Genomic DNA, 21,728 nt, shown 5'->3' with positions numbered 1-21,728 from the left:
AACTGCTATTCCTCTCAAACACTAGAATAGAGCCTATTTAAATCTTAACTTTTGCTTGCCAAACCACTGTTACCGCCCATCTGTTCATGCCAATTGTAAAGAAGGTTCAGTTTTTAGTGAAGCTTTGCATTTCACATAAGGTATGTGAAGTGAAATTTCACAAGGGACATGATGGATCCTGATTCTTAGTGATAAACCTTTGGGGCCATCAGGGTTGGCATATGGTCCAGTATGATATGAAGGCTTGGGTTCCCTGGCTTCACTTCTTTGGCGTGAAGCTGATAAAACCTGGCTCTTGAGTATTATTTCACTGGACACCAATCATGGGCAGCAGGAACTGCCCATTTAACTCTCTGTGGGAAGGAAGCCCAGAGAGCATTCACAATGGTACCATTGTCGAGTTGCAAACTGCTCTGAACAGCTTGACAGCACTAGGGAGGAGGGGAAGGGGTTGCTTTACTAATTGCTGTTCAGAAAAGAGAAGAAGCAAAAATAGCTGTTGCAGAACTGATGTTTCTACATTTACTTACTCTCTTGCTAAGAATGTTGACTTATTTAGCATGTAACTACTATCAAAAAAGAAGGCAAATGAATATAAGCAACCACCTGTAGTAATTCCTTATTAACATGCCATTATCTATTTTTAGCCCATCAGATTATTGCAGAGCAAAAGTCAGTTTTGCCTTATTTTTTTATTAGATGAAAATAAGGAATTTTTTATCTTCATAATTTAATTGAGGTGAAGTGGATAAAATCGTCACAATTCACATGTCAGATAAGGTTATAAATTTGGTTTAATTTACACTTTGCTTTTTAGGATTCCCAAATACCATCTGAATACATATAAACGATATTAGTATAGAAATGTAAATTAACTTTCTGCATAACACAAGTGCTAAAATAATCCACTAAAGATAAATTAGTCAGCACATCTTAAGGTTAAATGCCAGATTTATCATTTAAGTGAGTAGCTCATAACTATTTCAGTCGTGTATGATTATCTCACTCATTGAATTCCCTCTGGTTGGATTTTTTTTAATGTGAGGGTTGTTTCCTTTTTTATGAAATATTGTATGCGCTGATATTTATATAAACACTCCTTGGCCTTTCTGTTTTCTTGGTCAGCTTTATCAGCAAGCAGTTGTGTAGTTTTGTTGCAAAGAAACAATGATCTACAACCTGAAAAAAAAATTAATGCTTATTTTCAGACTCCAGGGATTCTGACCCCATAGATGATTCTTTCTTTTCAGCTGAAATGAAGTTGACTAAATTATATTGCAGTATTATAATTTATGCAGCATGTTCTTAAATAGGATAAGGAAGAGATATTTTAAGAAACCTTTTAAATCTGTAAATTTTTTTAATGGGATGCTCTTGCTAGATTTGGGGAAATTCAAATGCATGTTTTGTAAAATCAGTAAATCTGTAAAATTTACTACTATTCCATATCCTGTGTTCTCTTAAGTAATTTTAGTAAATGGGCACCAGTGCAGTATTTCAAAAACAGTAATTCATTGAATGCCCATTCTTCCTTTTACTGCAGAATAGATTGTATTTAAGTCAAGATTAATGGATAGATTTTGATGTTAAAGTCCAGTGTCTATGCCTATCATTCCCTGGGGGCATATAGTGCATTAGTTTAAGCCAATGTACTGCTTATCATAGATTCTATGACACTGTCTTAAATGACAGTTTACTGTACTTTGTTTCTACTTACTATGATAATAAAATCACTTTTTTTGTATTCCCAATAATTATAGCACTTAAATAAAATCTTAATTAAATTAGTGCACATTTAAGTAGAGATAACACTTAAGTAATTGTACACTGTAAAATTTCACTTATTTGGGTTTTTTTTTTTTTTCTTTTTGCAGTCTTCTGACAGGGTCCAAGTAGATCTTTCCAAGAATGAGAGGACATTATAATTTCATTAAATGAGAGGACATTATAATTTCACTAAATTTGAAATCCAGATACCCTAGTTTTTGTTTTGCTTCGTACAACTTTCATGAAAATAGAATATATATACACACACACACACACACACACACACACACACACACACATACATATTGGATAATCATATTAGTGCTTTTTGAAACCCACCAATGATTACTGGATTATTAAATCAGGAAGGATTTTCAGAGCCTTTAGGTAGGTTTAAATTTTTAAGCCTATTTATTTAAGGTTAATCTTTTTAAATGTATTTACACAAACTTTGGTGGAATTGGGCTTATCAACTTTTTACTTAATGTTTTCATTTAGTAATTGACTGATTTATGAGCAATTATATGTGGTCCAAATTTTATTCAACTCCAGCTTTCAATAATAGGGCTATCCTCACACTGCCTTAGCACCTGTTATGGATTTTGAGTCATCTGGCAGCCCATGGGACTTAGATAAAGAAGTACCAGGTGTCCTGCCTGTCTCCTAATTGAGACGCAGTGAAAACAATATAGACTTGGCAATATGGTTAAAAGGATGGATTAAAGCCCAGCTTTGTCTGCTCTGACAAATCACAGCTTTTCCTTCATGGTGTAGATAGTATCAACTACTAAAGAATTTCATGAATATAAGGCATCATAAAAATAGACAATAATTTGTCATAACCTGTTGCAGACTTTCAGAAGAATTTTTATTAACATAGTATAAGCAATATTAATAACAAGATTCATGCAATTTGTTTAGGGGAATTTTATTTTTTACTACATGTGAACTAGACTGCATGTTTCTGGAAAAAATTAGTTACAGTAGGAAAGAAATGGAATATCTTTCCCTCTGCCAGATCTTAATTTATCAGATCTTGCTTTATAAGGTAAGCAGTATAGTTTGCTTTCATCTTATAAATGAACAGTGTATATTATATATTAGTCCATGAGATACTAATTACCCGGTGTATTTCGGAAAATTTGCTACTTTACTACCGATAATAACCATGAGATCCTTGAGATGTACTTGCAAAATATGTCTACCCATATGCTATGTCTCAATAAAATTCTTATTTTTCATTCTTTTTTCAAGACCCTGTGTAATGATATTGCCTCAGAATGTTTAAAGATATTTCAAGGCCTTTTAAAACTGAAGTGCCAAATGTGGTTTGTTTTCAAATTTTTATTTTAGAACATGCAAGGGGTTTTACTGTAGTATAGTCACTAATGTATAGTAAACTATAGTATAGCAAATAGTATTTTACTCTACTAATATGTAAACAAACATCTTTCAAAAATTGCCAGTCTTAGAATTTAAGCTAATATTCATTATTTTGACATAACTAAAAGGCCTAATATACCTTTGCTTTTTCACCGCACAACACCTAGGTCATTGAGATTGGATGTAGAGAGAGCATTGGACTATTAATTAAAAGACCAAGATTCTAGTCCCAGCTCTATCCATCAGCAGCTTTGTTTATCCAAGCAAATCTCTGTACTCTCCATTCAGGCAAGCCTTATTGCTGCCTATAAACATTAGTAAAATAAACTAATTTTACCAAGCTTCCTGGAAGTAATGTTGATGGATGTATCCTTCCTCTAGTTCAAACTGTCCTAAATATTCTCGATAAATGATGCCTTGTCTTGGGATAACCTCTTTCAAGGTGGCCTTTTTAAAAACCTAAATATTTAACATTTTTCAAGTGTTGTTTTTCAAGGGTATTATTACTTCTATTCTTATGGTATACAGAGCAGTTTTGGAAATCTGCCTAAAATGATTTGAAATTACCCTTCATTTAATTTTCTCTGTAAAGATTTTCTCATTCTTCCCTTTTTTTCCCTTCTCTATAAATGGCCACTTAAGCAAATAGAATTAGTTTGACTAAATTCATTTCTCATGCCATTGTAGAATTTATGAAAAAAATTTAAACAATTATCACAACCAATGGGGGAAATGTTTATTTCAATGCTAAATTATGAGTTATAATTACATTGCCTAAAGAAAAAATCCTTCTTTAAGATTATGAGGATTTAAAGAAGTAATTATCAGTTTTCTTTTCTCTTAATGTAATACTTTACATATTTATACATTGTGCTTTATTTACTTTTTTTTGGTTCCAGAGAGGGCCAGCAAGATCAAGGGGCATGGTAGAACCAAAATCTTTCTCACAAGAAAGATTCAAAGTCTAAATCCAGTTCTAGGAAAGTTCCAACTATATTTCCCCCTAAAAGGTTTGCCTTTACAGAGCCATATGGGGATTAGAGGAAAGGGGCTGTCAGCATAACAGACATCTCCTAATCTACTATCAAACCAACTTTATTCATTCCTTCTAGAAGTTGTAAACAGTCATTGAATACTACCAGGCCCTGTGTTGGGTGTTGAAGACATAAATATAAGAAGACAAGGTCTCTGTCCCCATGGCGTTGGTCTCACCACTATCTGTAACCACAAAATGGATCATAAAAATTTCAATAACATAAGTAGAATGGCTGGATTAGTAGTCTCTAAAGTGAAGAAGTAACATTGAAGAACCACCAAATCTGCCCCCAAGAATCGGGTATAAAAACTATTTCTTAAGAAAGTGTATTTAGGCCGGGCGCGGTGGCTCACGCCTGTAATCCCAGCACTTTGGGAGGCCGAGGCGGGCGGATCACGAGGTCAGGAGATCGAGACCATCCCGGCTAAAACGGTGAAACCCCGTCTCTACTAAAAATACAAAAAATTAGCCGGGCGTAGTGGCGGGCGCCTGTAGTCCCAGCTACTTGGGAGGCTGAGGCAGGAGAATGGCGTGAACCCGGGAGGCGGAGCTTGCAGTGAGCCGAGATCCCGCCACTGCACTCCAGCCTGGGCGACAGAGTGAGACTCCGTCTCAAAAAAAAAAAAAAAAAAAAAAAAAAGAAAGTGTATTTAGTAGAAGAACAAGCCTAAGGAAAGAGTTCTCTAAAGGGGACCTGGCAGGTGGGCGTTTTGCAGCAATCTTCAAGATGTATGATGTGGAAACTCACCATAGCCAATTTCAGGCTACCAACCTTACAAACTTTATGAGTATTGAATAATTTACTCTAATCTGCTCAACTTAAGTAGTACTCAGATTTCAGCTACTTTAAGTTACAACTCAAATATGATTTAAGTTGTACTCACCAAAAATTTTTTTTAAATCAGTAGGCAACATTTCTAAGTAACTATTGGAACACTCCCTCTTCCTGTGCTTACTATTTTTGGAATCTTCTGTCTAGAGAAGGGAGATAAAATTCCTAAGTGCTGAAACTGCAAAGAAGCCATAGAAATATATGAGTGTAGGGAAGTGCTTACTAAATTAAGAATTTCAGAATGGGCCTTAAATCCCTGAGACTATGCCATTGAGCACAGATATAAACACTTTATACTTGCCTTTATTTTAAAATGAGCCAATCGTTTTTTCTTGTTTAGGAAATAAAACATGAAACCTGAACTTAAGAGGAAAATAAGCAATTATACAGATTTTTGATATCTGCTTACAAGTTGTAATTTTTATAATTCCTTTTTGTGAAAATTATACCTTATATTCATTCTTGTGTATAACATATGTATACGCATACATATATACACACACACACACATTTCCATTTCTTTCAGACTAGTCACAAATTAGATTTGAACTGAATGTTTATACAGCCTACTGGTTGTGCCATGGAATTACAAAACTGAAAGCTTTCCCTTTTCTAACATTACAAGCAGTTCACAATTACCAGATTAATAAAATTATTGTGGAGAACGAAAGGTGTTGCTTCTTTAAAACCAAATCTACCTTTATCTATTCTTTTATGTGTTAATAAAGTTGAAATACTTGATACTGCATAACCTTCTGCAGTATCTTTTGTCCTTTTCCTCCATGAGAAATCAGTTTCCTTGCATCAGAATAAGTCAAAATTCCCTCTCTGTACGTGCCGCAAACAAGAAATAGTAGTAGTATTATCAAAGAGTTCTTGCACATGAATACAGGTATATTTCTTAAACTGACATCAAAAATTGCCCTCCTAGAGACAGCACCTGCTGTTTACAAAGATGTGAGCCAAAGGTCAAAATAAAGTATTTCAGGACAGGTGTCAGGGCACTTTTGTGTTACCCCGTATTTGTATCCTTTATCTTCAACACCCTATGAAGTGAGCAGGTGATGGTATCCCCACTTAACTTACAGATGTATCCCCATTTAACATACAGATAAATTATGGCACAGAAAATTTATGCTTATCTTTCCAGGATCAGTCTGAAATTGAACCCAGTTTCTTAATAGCTGGTCTTGAAGCTTAAAATCAAGAGTAATAATTTAAAATATGTAATGATGTTAACTTAATATTAATGAATTACAGATTACATTTAAACTGTTTCTTTACGCTATAGACATTTTGTTCCCTTATTTTTAGAATAATAATATTCCTTCCCCCCTTTTTTCCTTTTGTAGAAAGCGGAAGGAGGATTAGTGGATAATTATATTGCTGTGATTGCAGCACCTGTGTGTTATTTTTTTTTTTTTTTTGATTGGCTAGTTCTGTATTAAAGATTCCTACTAGCTAAAAGTCTCCCTCATCAAATGGTTTTTATTAGCTAATTTTGGCTTGAGTTGTTTTAAATTTACAACCAAAATCTGCTTACTTCAACTTAGATTTGTACTTTAAATTTTTGTTCTGAATTTTTTTATTTACCTTCACCTTTTTATCATCTTATCCATTTCGGTTTTTTAATTTCAATGCCAATGGCAACAGGCACTCACCATATAAAACGATAGCTTGAGTTGTCCTGTTGTTGCCAGCTGTGGAGTTTGTGTGCCACTCAATGTATATGTACTAATAACTCTTCCCTAGAGAGATGCCTTTTATGGAGTAAGTGTCTAACCTATTATAATGAGATATAGGAATTAACTGCTTTGGATGATTACAATTGCAGATTCTAACAGCACTGTTTGGAACTTTAATCATCTCAATCACAAAAAGCACCTCGTTGTGGACTCAGAACTGTGGTCTAAGTGCTTAGAGTTTATTATATTTCCTTAATACATGTTTTCAGAAGTAAAAAAAGCGGGGGCCGGGGGGGGATGTAAGTCCTGTAGATTGGGTTGGCTTGTTTTCATGTTGTTATTTATTTATTTGGCTACATCAAACTGGGAAACTTATAAAGATCATTTAGCTTTTAGAAAGTGATTTACCTTAGATATAGTTATTTTACCAAGCTAACAGTGTTTGACCCCCCAAAAAGGAAACTTACCTAATAAGTGATGAGCACTGTAGTTTTTTCATTTAAATTCAACCGTTAATGATTGCTTCCCTTCACTCTGCCATCCTGACTTGAACTTTTAAAATAATTTTAGAAAGCATTGTTTTCATTAATGAAATTTAATTAATTTATTGTAAATGTATTAAATATATTTTTTATACAAAATGAGTATGTTATATCTGGATAATTTTAGTTTTGTGCAGCTGTGTATTAGGATTTTTTCCATTTTATAAGCCTCTTTGTATAAGGAAGTAGAATTAGTCTGCAAAATGTATTTTAGCTAGATAATCATTTTCTTGCTTTGATGAATTTACTACATTGGAAATATCCTCCCCTGCTTTAGAAATATTAACATTTGCTTTCTTTCTGCCTAATTTTTATATAAATTCTAAATATAATGTAAAATATTTCATTTATAGGCCCTCTGAAAGTAGAACATTTTTAAAAGCAGGTAGGTGTCTCCACCCTACTTTTCATGAAGCATTTTACCCATTCAAGCAGACTTTTAAAAACAGCTTGTTTTGATAGCAGACTGTTCTCCTGTGGGCCTTCAGCCTTTGCTTCCTGGCAGCACCTTTGGTGCGAAAAGAGAGTGATCAATTGGAAGACTATCAGTGCCAGCATGCATAGAGTGATAAGTTAACACACCACTGGGAATTTCTAGGGCCCACCAAGATACTTCACTTCTAATGTGCTAACAAGCTCATTTTTCTACCTCTTGCCTCTTCAGTTATTTTTTTTCTCAGAAGAGCTTAGAAGTTGAGTGCATCAGGCATAATGAAAAGCTCTGTAGGAGGGAGAAGCAATAACCCCATTTTTCCCTTTTCAGCCAAATAGAAAATTAGTTTCTGGTAATACACAAAGGCCAGTATTTTTTGTACAAGGGGCACTGCTGTGAATCAAAGGACTCTATTAACTGCAGAAAATTCGGCAGCTGTGAATCTCCCCCAATGAAAAAAGTACTTTCCAACAAGTTGTGAGATATGTGGTATTATTTAGATTGTACCATCAGTTTCATCCTCTTCTATTTATAACCATATACCCCCTTTAAAAGTGTGCCATATTACTTGTTTATGTTAAGACTCAAAAATGTCCGTATTATCCTCATGTAAAATCCTTGATGCTGATCATTTTAATATGCATCTTGTCCTATTGCTTCCCACCTCAAAAGTAAAATTCTTTTGAAGTTCACCCCCAGTGTACAGAATGGAAGGTAATAGAATTGGGATTCAAGGTTATTTTAATATTTGATACATAAGATAAATTGTAATAGAAGCAGATAAATTGTAATATGAAAGCCACTTAGCAAAAGTTACCACAATCAAAGTCAAGTGCATAATGAATATAGTCTTGCCTTTAACTCTTATACTTTTTTTTTCTCTTCTTACTCAGTGAACTTGTAAATATAACTAACTGGCCATGGTATCTCCCATTGAATTATTTAAAATTATCTTCCTCTCAAATTATTTTTTTGGGTCTTGGCTTAGTCTACAATTTCTAGAGTTTTAGAACTATATAATAATTAAATTGCATTTTTTTAAAAAATAAGGAATTTTGAGGGAAAATATTAAAGTGGACTTTGGGGAAAAATTCAGTGGAAAAAAAGAAGAACAAGTAGACAAATTTTTATTATCCTTATTTAAATGTCTTATGTAAAGCCTGTCAGCATAGCACACTGAGTACCACAGGGAAACTTTTAAAAGTTTTAAAAGAAAGGTTAACTGATTTCTCAGTTCAGGAACTATATGACATGAAGTCAGCATGTGAGTTTTTCCTGATAATTGTATGTTGCTGCCTGCTGCTCTACATTTTGACAGCCATTTCCATAGTTGCTTTCGTGAACAACAGAAATATTCTCTCTCTTTCTCGCCCTCTCTGTGCTAACAGCACAATCAGGCCTGCTGAAACAGGAAGCCTGGAGTGGGTTGTTCAAAAGCAACAACGCTTCAAGGTACTGGTTGCTTGTCAATAATATCAGAGAAGAAAATGTGGTGAAAAGGAACTACAGTATTTTTCTGTCAGTGTCAGTGCCCTGGAGATGCTTTGTTAGACAGTATTTAGGAGTCCTGTGGACTCTTTGCAAATATTCCTGCTTGTTTCAGTGTTATAATTGACTAGGTATTTTTTCCCAGCATACAGATTCAGCTATGTATTTATCTTAACCACATGGAGTTATTCGAGGATTACAGCAACAGTAATCTTCCATTCAAAATGAGAACAATTGTTGAGAAAATGCAGGGATTTTAGAAAAAGAAGAAGATATGTAGGAATTTTTCACAATAAATCTTTACAAATGAAAAACAGAATTTTGGACGTAGTATCTTAAGCAACATTACAATGTTTCTTGCGTGGCTTTTGAGAGTAAATCTGCAGATGGAAGCTGATTAACAAGATAAGATGAGCCTAGGCCGATATAAATTTCAGCCTAGACTCCTGATAGAAATTGAATCCTTTCTCAAGTAAACTGTTAACTTCCTTCATTTCAGTAGTTTAGTATTATTGTAATTATTATCTAATAAATGTCTCCCTGTTAAGTTGTCATTTATACTGGGATCATGAAGAGTAAACATACATTAAAAACTATATTTTTGCACTTTAAAAAGCCATACTGTTAACAATATATAAGAATAATTAGTGAATAATTCTATTTATTAAGAAGTAATGGCTTAGCAATCATAGCAGTCCTTTTTGATAAGATTTTTTTTCCAGTATAAGCTGCACTTAAGTTTATCCTTAACCAAAGGAAATCAGCTATGAGGAGAGAGCACGATACCTGCAAACAATTGTCCAGCACCACTTAGAACCAACAACATTTGAAGATTTTGCAGCACAGGTTTTTTCTCCAGCTCCCTACCACCATTTACCATCTGATGCCGGTAAGATTAAAAGCGAGTATTAGTTACTTGTTATTGGAACTTGAAATGCAGTACCCTTTTGTTCTAAAAACTTGCTTGAAAAAAATTCTAATCATTGAAATATGAATTTTTAATCACTATTTAATATTTGAATTTGGCCTATAAATTTGATTTATGGTTTCTTTTACCTAAATGCAGTTCCTTAAAAAGTCAACTATCTTCATAAAAGTACATGTACCACATTTTATATGAGCTAATATTCAATGACTCTTGCATCTTCTGGAATCATTTCTGAAGTATCTGCAAAAGAAATACAAATTAAGCATGCACTCTGAACTTCAGAGGATCAAATTTTGTGGCCAAGAATATCACCCCATCATCTCTGATTTTACAGCTAAAGCTAATATAACTGGTCTAGATTTAGAAGTACTTAATACTGTAATTTATGTTACAATAATTAAAGAGTGTAAGAGGGTACTGCATTTTATGATTAATTTTGAAGAAATCAGTAAGAAAATAAATGACTCGTGGCCTTCCTATTCTGTAATATCTTGCTCTCCTTATGATTGTTTCATTTATTTTCCCTCTTTAGATCATTAAATATCAGTTCTGTTTATCTGAAGGTAAGACAAAGTGTCAACCAAAACACCCTCTGTTCTTCTCCCATTTCCTTTTTTCAAAATTAGCAGGCTCTAAGCTTGTAACTTAAACAATAAGTAAACTTAACACTGTCCGGTTCATACTAAACATTTCAGAAATTGTCACTAAATTTTTTCCAGTATTATACTGACTAACCCAGGTCTGCATGAAACACTAACATGGTTTGGGGATAAAAATAACTAATAATAGAATCCCTTGGTTGAAATTAGTTACACCTTGTTATATTGACCTTTTTTTTCTGTTTCTCAGCATGAAAAAGTAGTACTATTGAACTGAAGTAGTGTGTCTTTGTATTTTGTGATGTGTTGCATTGTTATTGGATATCCTAACTCATCAAATGATAACTCTCTGTGTGCCTTGCACTTCACTAGGCACCTGAAATACAAAGATGACTGTTGTAATGGTATTCAAGGGAAGCAGGAAAAGAGGACATAATATGCTTGAAGTTTATCATAATAAACCTTCAAATCTCTTTATATTAAATAAGTTTTCTTTATATTAAATAAATTCAAAAGGCACAACACTTCTTTTCTAGCCTAATTTATTTGGAAAAAGTTACTGTAATTCTCAATTGAGATTTAGTTAGTGAAATTAAAGTTTCCATTCCTGTCATCATTAAATTGCTATTAGAAAAATAATTTTACAAAAAATTTAGATCGCTTTCAGATAGTATAAAAGACCTAGCAAAGACAAAACCGTATTAAACCAGGTTGAATCTTTTGAAAGAGATAAAAAGTCTAAGATTCACTTTAATGGATTGACACTATCCAAAATTACCCAGTTTGGCATTAAAAAAGATGGTAAAAGAGAAATATTAAATTAATGAACAGCAAAATAACTAATTAAGTATATCTGGCAATTTTCTTGTTTAATAATGGAGAATGTCCGATAAAATGTCAGATTATATTAAAAGAGATATGAATAACACTTGTGTATCCTATAGTCAAGCCATAAATTTCACAAGTGAAAAATATTGATAATAGAACCACACTTGGACTAACTTTCCCCCTTAGATTGATAAAGGCTGTTCAGTTCTCATGTGTCGTTGTTTACCAGCTGTACTCTTTCGTATTTGTCATCTTAATGTTCTCCCCATATTTTGCATGTTATCCTGCACATTTGGCCAGGTATTGTGGAAGTGAGTAGTATCTCACTTCTGAGACATTAAAGGATGCTACAGCAGCCAAGTCAGGGTTCTGTTGGCTTCATTTTTAATGTGTCTTACAAAATTATTGTGTAAGTTGTTTAAAATAACACTTATGATTGTCTAAATAGTAGTAAAAATGTGAATTTGAACATAAACCTAATATTGTGCTACAGATTTTTTCAGTTAATTTTTAAGAGTTGTCACTGCATTTAAGAACCATCCTCTAATTTTAATATGCACTCTGATTTTCAAAAGGGTGTTTTTGCTTGTAAATAACTTGTGCCAGTATTACTGAATACGTTTCTATATAAGTTTTTGCAGACTTTAATAGTTATGACATAAATTTTTATCAGAGTGGTTCTCAGTTCAACACAAAATAAAAATGAAATATTTACTCTTAAGAGTAGCAAAAACATAGAATCTGAAAAATAATTTTTTTCCAGTTATCTCAAATCTTAACTTTTCTGTCATAAGTCCCATACATATAGAGCTCCCTTTAAAGTTATAAGTCAAAGTGGACAGAGAAGACATAAAATAAGCTGTATAATAGCAGTTTGGACCTGACTGCTGGTTTGCAAAAATGACATAATAGTGTAAAGTTTTTAATCTTTTTCCTAGCAGAAGTATAAAATGTGTTCACCACATTGAAAAAATGGATTCATAATTGCAATTGAAAAATCAACTTTAGATATCCTGTGCACACCCTATGTATATAAAATAGTACTAATCAATACTAATATGGTCATTTGAAATTAAATTTTAAAGAAATGCCAAAATGGTGATTATATTCTGTCTAACCAACCCTATAACATAATTATATTCAGTGGAATAGTATAGAAAAATAATATTTATTATTATTATTATTATTACACTTTAAATTTTAGGGTACATGTGCACAATGTGCAGGTTAGTTACATATGTATACATGTGCCATGCTGGTGTGCTGCACCCATTAACTCGTCATTTAGCATTATTTTTTTAAGATTTCTTAATTTGGTTCAAGATTATCTAAAGCCCACTTTCTGGTTAGCGGTAACGTGCAAATCAACTGTGGTGACATTTAAATCCGAGAAAACATTTTTCCGTATTACTTTCAGTATTATTAAAATAGATATGAAAGATTTTGGTGCATCATAGTTGATCCATAAATTTCATAACTGTATTTTCTCAAAATGTACTGTCTGTGGCAGTAGACTGATACTTAAGGGAAATTATTTTTATCCCTAAGGTCATTGAGGGAAATATCGTGATGTCACACTTTGTTGATCTTTCATAACTACGTTAAAATATTATTAGATTTTTCTTGTCTTTTATTTTTAAAAAATTACAGGAAAAAATCCCTTTATCTTTGTCAGGCATGTGTGTGGAAAATATCAAAAGTTTTTAGTGACTTCTTAAAGTTTTTTCATATTTACAAATACCTCTCCTTTAATTATAAACTTTAAAATGAAATTACTGCTCTTCTTGGCCAGATTACACTGTTTGTTCATATGTACATGTTTCTCCCAATGTTATATTGTCTTTTCAATATTATCTTTTTTTATTTTGTAATAAGAGAAATTCTAGAATGACAACAAGAAACAGGATCCTGTTTTGCTGAAAGTGTATAGTAAATATTAATTGGTTTAACTTTCTCAATTTCAACATTAAAAATATACTCATAATTTTTTGGAGTATTATGTCTTTAAGTTACAGATTTTAGTTATTTACAGTTAAAGTGTTGATAGGTGTTTCTGTCTTTCTGTATTCATATACATATATATACATACACAAACATATATCTATACATACATAACACTTTTTATAATTACTTTTGGAGAATATAGGGGTTCCTATTTAAAGCAATATTATAAAATTAATAAAATTCAAATATAATTTTTATGATACCAAATTCAGAGATAATCAAGAGTGACTATGAAAACCTAGAGTAGTATCTAGTCTGCCTTCTAACCTCAGTTGTGCTGTTAATTTGCAAAATCTATATTCCCATATGTAGATAGGATGGAATTTATGATGGTCAGATCTATTTCTTTGAATCTTTGAGTGGGATGGATCATCAAAATTTAGCCATTGCTTTAGGTAACCTTTTTTAGCTCAATGTCCTTTAAAAGTTATTTAAACTACTCAGGCTTTGAAATGATCTGAAATAAAATATTTTAGCTCCTTAGAAGATAGTTATTTTATAAATATCTTAAATATTAGTAAGTGCCAACAGAAGAATTAGTTGCCTGCAATATGTAACATAAGCTATAAATCTGTTTATTTAATGGTTTGGTTTTTGTTTTTGTTTTTTTTGAGACAGAGGCTGGAGTGCAGTGGCGCAATCTTGGCTCACTGCAACCTCCACCTCCCGGGTTCAAGCAATTCTCCTGCCTCAGCCTCTCAAGTAGCTGGGATTACAGGCCCATGCCACCACTCCTGGCTGATTTTTGTATTTTTGGTAAAGACAGGATTTCACCATGTTGGCCAGGCTGATCTCAAACTCCTGACCTCAGGTAATCCACCCACCTCAGCCTCCCAAATTGCTGCGGTTACAGATTTGAGTCACCATACCTGGCTAATTAATGTTTTTAAAAACAGATTCCTACGCATATTAATTTATCATTAGATTAGCCTGAAATTATAGGCAGCCAGATATGTTCTATTTGATACTTTGAACTTGGAAATTTGGCTTATATGTTGTTGACCAAGAGGCAAGTAATAATCTTAAATAAGACCCACTAACCTTTTGTGATAACTGCTGGTTCAGTTTCCACATAGAACATTCACTGAGATGTGAAATTTTTGTAATGAAAATAATAAAATAATAATTGTGCTATTACTGAGTGCCAGACACTGTGCTCGGTACTGTACATACATTATGAAATTAAAAAATGCTTACCCAGAGTCACCTGGTACTTTGTCAAGCTAGTATTTCAACCTAGACTGATCTGATTTCAGAGGGCATGATCTTAACTATTACAGTTACCCATTTAGTCTAAATATTTTCATCCCCTTCCTGCTGTTGATAGAGAGATATTGCCCAATAACCTGTCATATTTACAAATTATAAATTGTTAAAGATTTTTATTTTAAGGGTTTTACTTTCCCACCCATTGAAAAATCTCTTTTCCCCCATATATCTTTAAGGTTGCCAGGGGAGAAGTATGAGCTTTGGAATCAAACTAATCTGGATTTAAATCCTAGTTCTGCCAGTTGTTATCCATATAAATGCAAATTAATCAATTCTCCCAATTTTTTCCTTTGTAAGGAGGAGGTAAAATATGACAAGCTTGGCCTGATTTGTTCTAAATCTAAAATACTAGTAGTTCTTGAATGTATCTTAAAATGAAACCACATGTTTGCCTTTATTTCTCTACTATTTTAAATTATGTTATTTCCTGGCCAGGCATGGTGGCTCACGCCTGTAATCCCAACCCTTTGGGAGGCTGAGGCAGGCAGATCACTTGAGGCCAAGAGTTCAAGACCAGCCTGGCCAACATGGCAAAACCCTTCTCTACTAAAAACACAAAAATTAGCTGGGCATGATGGCATGCGCCTATAATCCCAGCTACTCAGGAGGCTGAGGCAGGAGAATCACTTGAACCCGGGAGGCAGAGGCTGCAGTGAGCTGAAATCGCGCCACTGCACTCCAGCCTGGGTAACAGAGTGAGACTCCCTCTCAAAATAAAGAAATAAAAATAAAAAATAAATTGTGTTATTTCCTTTATGATATTCAGTGCCATCCATGCTAATCTTAATAACTTATCAACTCCTTTAAAAATATTAAAAGCAAGGTTATTTGGGTAGCCTTTAACCTTTAATATAAGGTTATATTTTATAGGACTATCAACATAAGAGAGGATAAATTTCCTTCAAACTAAATTTAATGGTATGTTGTGCTTTTCACATTTGAACAATAATATTTTGTATAGGTGGTCATTTTCTTCAAAAATGTTCCTCATTTCTATCCCTTCGTTTCTAATCCTCATCTGTTCTGATTCAAAATGTATCAGCTTTTATTTTTCTCTGTTTAATAGCATTATTATGTAGCTATACTTACTGTGCTCCTACTATGTGCCAATATCTTTGCATATGTAATCTTAATCCCTGGGATGACTTGACAAAATTGCAAGTATTAGCTCCATTTTACGAATACAAAAATGTCTCAAGTCAGTTTGCCCAAGATCAAACAGCTGGTAAAGTGACAGAGTCGGCATTTAATCTAGGACTGTCTAACCTATGCCCATGTTCTTTCTAACAAATCACATCGTCGCTGGAGTTCAGTATTAATTGAAATTGCTTTTAAAGATATAATATTTTATAGGGCTATATCTGCCCAATAATTAGCAGCTTTAAACCAGTCATACCTGTCACCAAACAGTACAAACGAAACCACAATAAAAAATGATCTTTTGAGCTCCCTCTTATAATCCCTATATATCCCAAAAGTCATATCCATTATGTTAATTGTAATAATAGTTTATTGTAATCAATGTGCAATATATGAATCAATTTATCCCATCAGATTACACAGTCTGTGTGAGCACTGTAAGAATGTTAGTAACAGATACGGTATGCACAAACATAGGAGCTCATGTGTACTTTTAAAACCTCATCCTTGAGGATATATTAATAATAGAAATAAATCAGCATTCTTTATGACTCAAGTAGTATAAATCAATAGGTAGAGTAGGATGTGAAATGAAATGTAGGTTGTTACTACATTTTTTACATCTAAAATTGAGGTCTTTCTACTGTAAATTATTTATAGAGTTTGGGAATGTTGAATATATACCACAAATGTAATTTGCTAAATTGTTAGGAAGTACTGATAACTATACACCACACACACTAAAAATCCTTATTTGACTCTGTTGAGTGAAGGGAGATTTCACTTTAAAGGCAGTGAGGAAGACATGGAAGAATTGTTTTTGAGGAAAATATTATTTGAGTTTGCCATAATGTAGAGCAATGCTCTCTGATAAAGCCCTCCTTCTATGGTGATGGAAATGTTCTATATCTGCACTGTCTAATGTGGAAGCCGCTAACTACATGTGGCTGTTGAACAATTGAAATGTGGCTAGTGTACTGAGGAACTGAATTTTTATTTAATTCATTTTAATTCAATAAATTTAAACTTAATGTGGCTGTGGCTACCACATTGGACAATGCAGCTCTAGAGATTTTATGTCTGAGTGATTAGGATAACATGCCAACAGTACAGTGAACACTTTAAAAGGTAGATATTTACAGAATCTCTCATAGACCTTTTTTCTTCTTTTCTTTTTTCCTATTTGAACTTGTTTTGTTAGTTGGTAAGTATAACATTTGAATTTACAAAGCATTGTCATTGTGAACCATCACCCTAATGCATTGCATGCCCAATTATATTTCATAATAAAAACCTTGATTCCTCTCTCTCTGCTCCTCAGTTAACACCTAGAAAATTCTGCACTGTGTCTCTCATATCTGTTATCTATCTTCTCTTTTGCTTTCTCACTTCTGCTTGCTACTCCATTTCTTCATTCACAACAAAGAAAGAAATGCAGTGATAGTTCTCTTCCTCCCAAAACCTCCGCTAGAAAACATTGGCCATCTCAAGGTAAACAGCAATGGGAGGGCCTCTCGTGATGGCCGGGAATGATATGCATTACCAGAAAAGCATGAGCTACTACTGCTCTTCACTTTCCTTCTGCCATCCATCTGCAGTGCTTCCCTAAAGGGGGTCATGGATTCATATTCTCCCATAAATTTTCCAGTATGGGTCTGCTATGAACCAATTCAGATCTTCAGGAAGAGTAAAGGTGAACAGAAATATGTTTCCTTCTCCTTGTATTTTGAAGGCCAGTCTTATTTCAATTAGAAAATAATGCTGGAAAAGTTACTTTGAGAAGAAGGGCAATTGACCTGGATTATGAGTGACAGAATATTTTTCCTTGGAAACATATATTTTTTCTTAAGTATAACTCTAACATTTGGTCTTAAAAACTTTTTGAAGGCCGGGTGCGGTGGCTCACGCCTGCAATCCCAGCACTTTGGGAGGCCCAGGAGGGTGGATCATGAGATCAGGAGATTGAGACCATCCTGGCCAACATGGTGAAACTCCATCTCTACTAAAATACAAAAAAATTAGCCGGGCGTGGTGGTGCGCACCTGTGGTCCCAGCTACTCAAGAGGCTGAGGCAGGGGAATCGCTTGAACCCGGGCAGTGGAGATTGCAGTGAGCCAAGATCGTGCCACTGCACTCCAGCCTGGCGACAGAGTGAGACTCCGTCTCAAAAAAAAAAAAAAAAAAAAAAAATTGAAGTGTTCTGCAAAGACATATTCTTAATTGCTTAAGACATCTCAATAGGATCTTCACCCCTTACTGAACTTTTTGTTTTTGTTTATAAACATTCAGTAACTTCAGTTTAAGCACAAAACATTTCATAGATATGAAAGTGCTAGCATAATTATTTCCTAGTTTGAAGTATCAATGAGGTGCTACATTGGCTAACAAATATGCTGAAAGTCTCCCTGTAAAGTAAGGACATGTATGTGTACAGTTAAACCTGCAACCTGTGTGGTGTTTTTGTTTGTAAAACACATAAAGAAAATTTTCATGTACTTAAGACCCAGAAAATCTGGATTAAAATGCCTTAAAATATCCAGAATCTCTTGCTGTTATTGTTTTCAGATTTTTTTTTCTGAAGGACTTTTATTTTTAATGTGATTTTAATTAATTACTCATTTTGTTTAGGAAATATTTGAAAGCCTACAGTGTGCAAGGTTCTGTAGTATTGCTGCATATTAGAGAATGATAATTTATAGAAATAAAGCACAGAGATGAAAAACTACTTTATAAATGACACAAAGAACTTTCCTATTTGATTTTGTTTTACTTCTAAAATTGTATATCTACTAATTCTACTGGTTACCTGCTTGCTTATGATTGAATAAGATACCTGCAAAAGTTTAAGTTAATGAAAACAAAAGCATTGTTTATGTCTTTTAAATTAAGACATTTTGGGGGAGTCAGTTTGCCTTTTTTTAACTGACATTCAGAGGAGAATTCTTGTCCTCCCCTCATCCACAAATTTATCTTGCTCCTTCTTAAAGCCGTCTTTAAATACCTAGCATGTATATGATCTCATAGTGCTGAGTTCCTTTTTTTGTTTTGTTTTGTTTATAAGGGCATCTAGTGAAACTGACTTCCTTTTTGAAACCCGTGGTTCCAAAACTGTTTGGAACTGTTTGGTGCTGTTTTTCAAGTTTGAGTAGTGAAGGCTCTTTTCTTGGTTGTACCCTGAATCCTAGAGATAGGAATTGGTCCTTCTCACCTGCTTCTTGACCCCTTCCCTGCATGCTGATGGTGCTTTGGATCCCTGTTCTTTCTGGCTCAAAGATTTTGCTTCCCACTGCTTTTTCCAGGGTTCTAGCCCTGGGAATGATGATTGGCGCTTTCTTGCTAATATAATGACATGAGCCACCAGATTGCTGGGTTTTAAATACATTAGTAGGCTATTGTAACAAGCAAGTTTGGGGCTTGCTTTTTCCCTCGAAAGATCTTATTAAGGGATGGGATCCTTGCTGCAGATTAGTAGCAGAAAGATTATTTCTCAGGGGATGAGAGGCTGGATAACTGTAGTAATGCTCTTGCTGTTTCCTACAGGCTCCTACCCAGAGATTCTACCCAGTGAAACTCCCACAGCAACGCAGGTAGATGGGGCTGACCTGGCCTCTCCAATGTCTCCTCGAACTAGCAAAAGCCGCATGTCCATGAAGCTGCGTCGTTCCTCTGGCTCAGCCAATAAATCCTAAGGAGACAAGCAGCCCAGCAGTGATCAGCAGTAGCCACCTTAGCACGAACATAGGGTTAACCCTTTCAGGCCTTCATGTCTGCCATAACATGCATGTTTCTTCCTGTACATTTATTTGAGAAAACACTGGATTTAAATAATTTTAAATAATTTGTAGCTTAATATTAAAGATTTAAGTTATTTATTGTTTCATTTTTTTTCCCACAATCCAAGCTGCCATATTTTGAGGGCAGGGGGAGTTTTATTCTACACCCTTTACCTTCCTAGATAATTATGTCTAAGTAGTTTTATCTTTAATTTCATGGTTAACTGTGAGCCAAAATACAATTGGACAATTAGTCTCATTATTTATTGTGCCCCATTGCAACTTTATGGTTCAATAAATATATAATTTTTTACAAATGTAAAATTTTACATTTAAGCATTTGTAAAGTTACAGCAAAAGATGTACCTGTTAATACACAGAATGTGTACAGATTATTTGTTATGACAATAAAACACTCAAAATAAATGGTCTTTAGCATCTCAAATTCCAACTGAAATCATTTTAGTATTAACTCTTCTTCCCAAAGCAATGTCTCATTTCTTGGCTGTGCAGGTGATGCCATGTTATATCCAATAACTAGAAAAATCACTGTGCTGAACTTTTATGTTTAGCTTCCAAGTATTTTTCTAATGTTTTGCATTTCAAGTGGTATCACTGTTAAATGCCATTTGTTTTCAGATTGTGGCCTTTTATTATTGGCTGCTAGATCCTGGTGTTTCTATGTTCTTTTTTAAGCACCAAAAAGAAGATGGGGAAGAAAAGAAGGAAAATTTTCTGATATAAATATGTTGTTCAAATTATGAGTATTATTTAAAAAAGAAAAAGGAACATAACCCAGGAGTCTAAGTTAAATCTAATATTGTTAATACTGAACTTGCAGGTCCAGGTTGGTATACATTCCACCCTCTAGAAGTATTTTCTTACAGTAGATAAGCTGCTCACATTTTGTTTTGAATGGGCATCTCCTGAGGAAATGTAGCATGACATTGGTACTAACTGCATGTGTAAATACATCATACTGGCAAACCGTAAAATATAAATTATGTATCATCATTCATGTAGTATCTATAATTTGTAACAGTGGGGGGGAAAGATGACATGGTATTTAATAATACAATAAAAATATTCTTATCACTTCCTATCCATGAGTGTTGATTTGTCTTCTATGTTTCATATATTTTCAATAAGCAGGGCTATATGAGTAGTGAGGAGATTTAAAGCATGAACCTAGATTATCTTAGCTAATCATCAAAAATAAACTTGAATTCCCTTTTCAAGATACATTCCAACTTATTTCTCACAGATCCTACCACAGTCGTTAAAAACACAGGAAATTTTCTGTCTTCATAAAGGCTGGCCAGAAATTCACCCAATGCAGTTGGTTAGATTGTTAGTTTATCTCAGCTTCATGTTTTTGTTTTGTTTTGTTTTGCTTTTTGAGACGGAGTCTCCCTGTCACCCAGGCTGGCGCGATCTCGGCTCACTGCAACCTCCGCCTCCCAGGTTCAAGCAGTTCTCCTACCTCAGCCTCCTGAGTAGCTGGAACTATAGGCGTGTGCCACCACGCCCGGCTAATTTTTTTGTTTTGTTTTGTTTTTTGTTTTTTGTTTTTTAGTAGAAACGGGGTTTCACCGTGTTAGCCAGGATGGTCTCCATCTCCTGACCTCGTGATCCGCCCACCTCGGCCTCCCAAAGTGCTGGGATTACAGCTTCATGTTTTTTTGATTCTTAAATTTTACTTTGTTTTATAATATACTTTCAGCAATAAAACTTCGTACTAACAAGTTTCTAAGACAATCTTTCAGAAATTCTGTGCACCCAATTTCATTTTCTTATAAATGAAAACTAAAAGTCCTATGTAAGCTGATGTAGAAGATAAACAAATGGATAGAGTCCTTGGGAAGAAGATTGAACAATGTAGACAATTTCCTACAGCCAAGGTGAAGAATTACAAAAAGGAAAATCAGAGTAACTGCATACATGTTTCTAAAGTGCTATAAAAAATCTAATGGATTGATGATATATAACAATATGGAGTAAAAATACAAACCTGAAATAAT

General features: G+C 34.0%; 1 protein-coding gene across 21 annotated transcripts in view, besides 1 other annotated feature; it reads left to right on the top strand.

Moving 5' to 3' along the window:
* Window positions 1-20,809, top strand: part of RALGAPA1 (Ral GTPase activating protein catalytic subunit alpha 1) — a 270,940-nt gene extending 250,131 nt beyond the window's left edge. For 7 of the 21 annotated variants that reach the window (NM_001346246.2, XM_006720100.5, NM_001346247.2 and 4 more), the window contains 3 exons: window positions 9,931-10,055; window positions 17,136-17,138; window positions 19,475-20,809. In NM_001346246.2, coding sequence (NP_001333175.1) covers window positions 9,931-10,055; window positions 17,136-17,138; window positions 19,475-19,623 — 277 coding nt within the window. In that variant the 3' untranslated portion in view covers window positions 19,624-20,809. The other 14 variants (NM_014990.3, NM_001283043.3, NM_001330075.3 and 11 more) reach the window with 4 other exon arrangements.
* Window positions 7,373-8,347: an enhancer, noted in NCBI's record as "VISTA enhancer hs348". NCBI's record gives its function as "enhancer in: forebrain[6/9]" and the evidence as "EXISTENCE:transgenic organism evidence [ECO:0001131][PMID:17130149]".

Source organism: Homo sapiens, chromosome 14, assembly GCF_000001405.40.
Source record: "Homo sapiens chromosome 14, GRCh38.p14 Primary Assembly".
NCBI lineage: Eukaryota > Metazoa > Chordata > Mammalia > Primates > Hominidae > Homo > Homo sapiens.
This window is presented reverse-complemented; position numbering and strand designations above follow the sequence as displayed.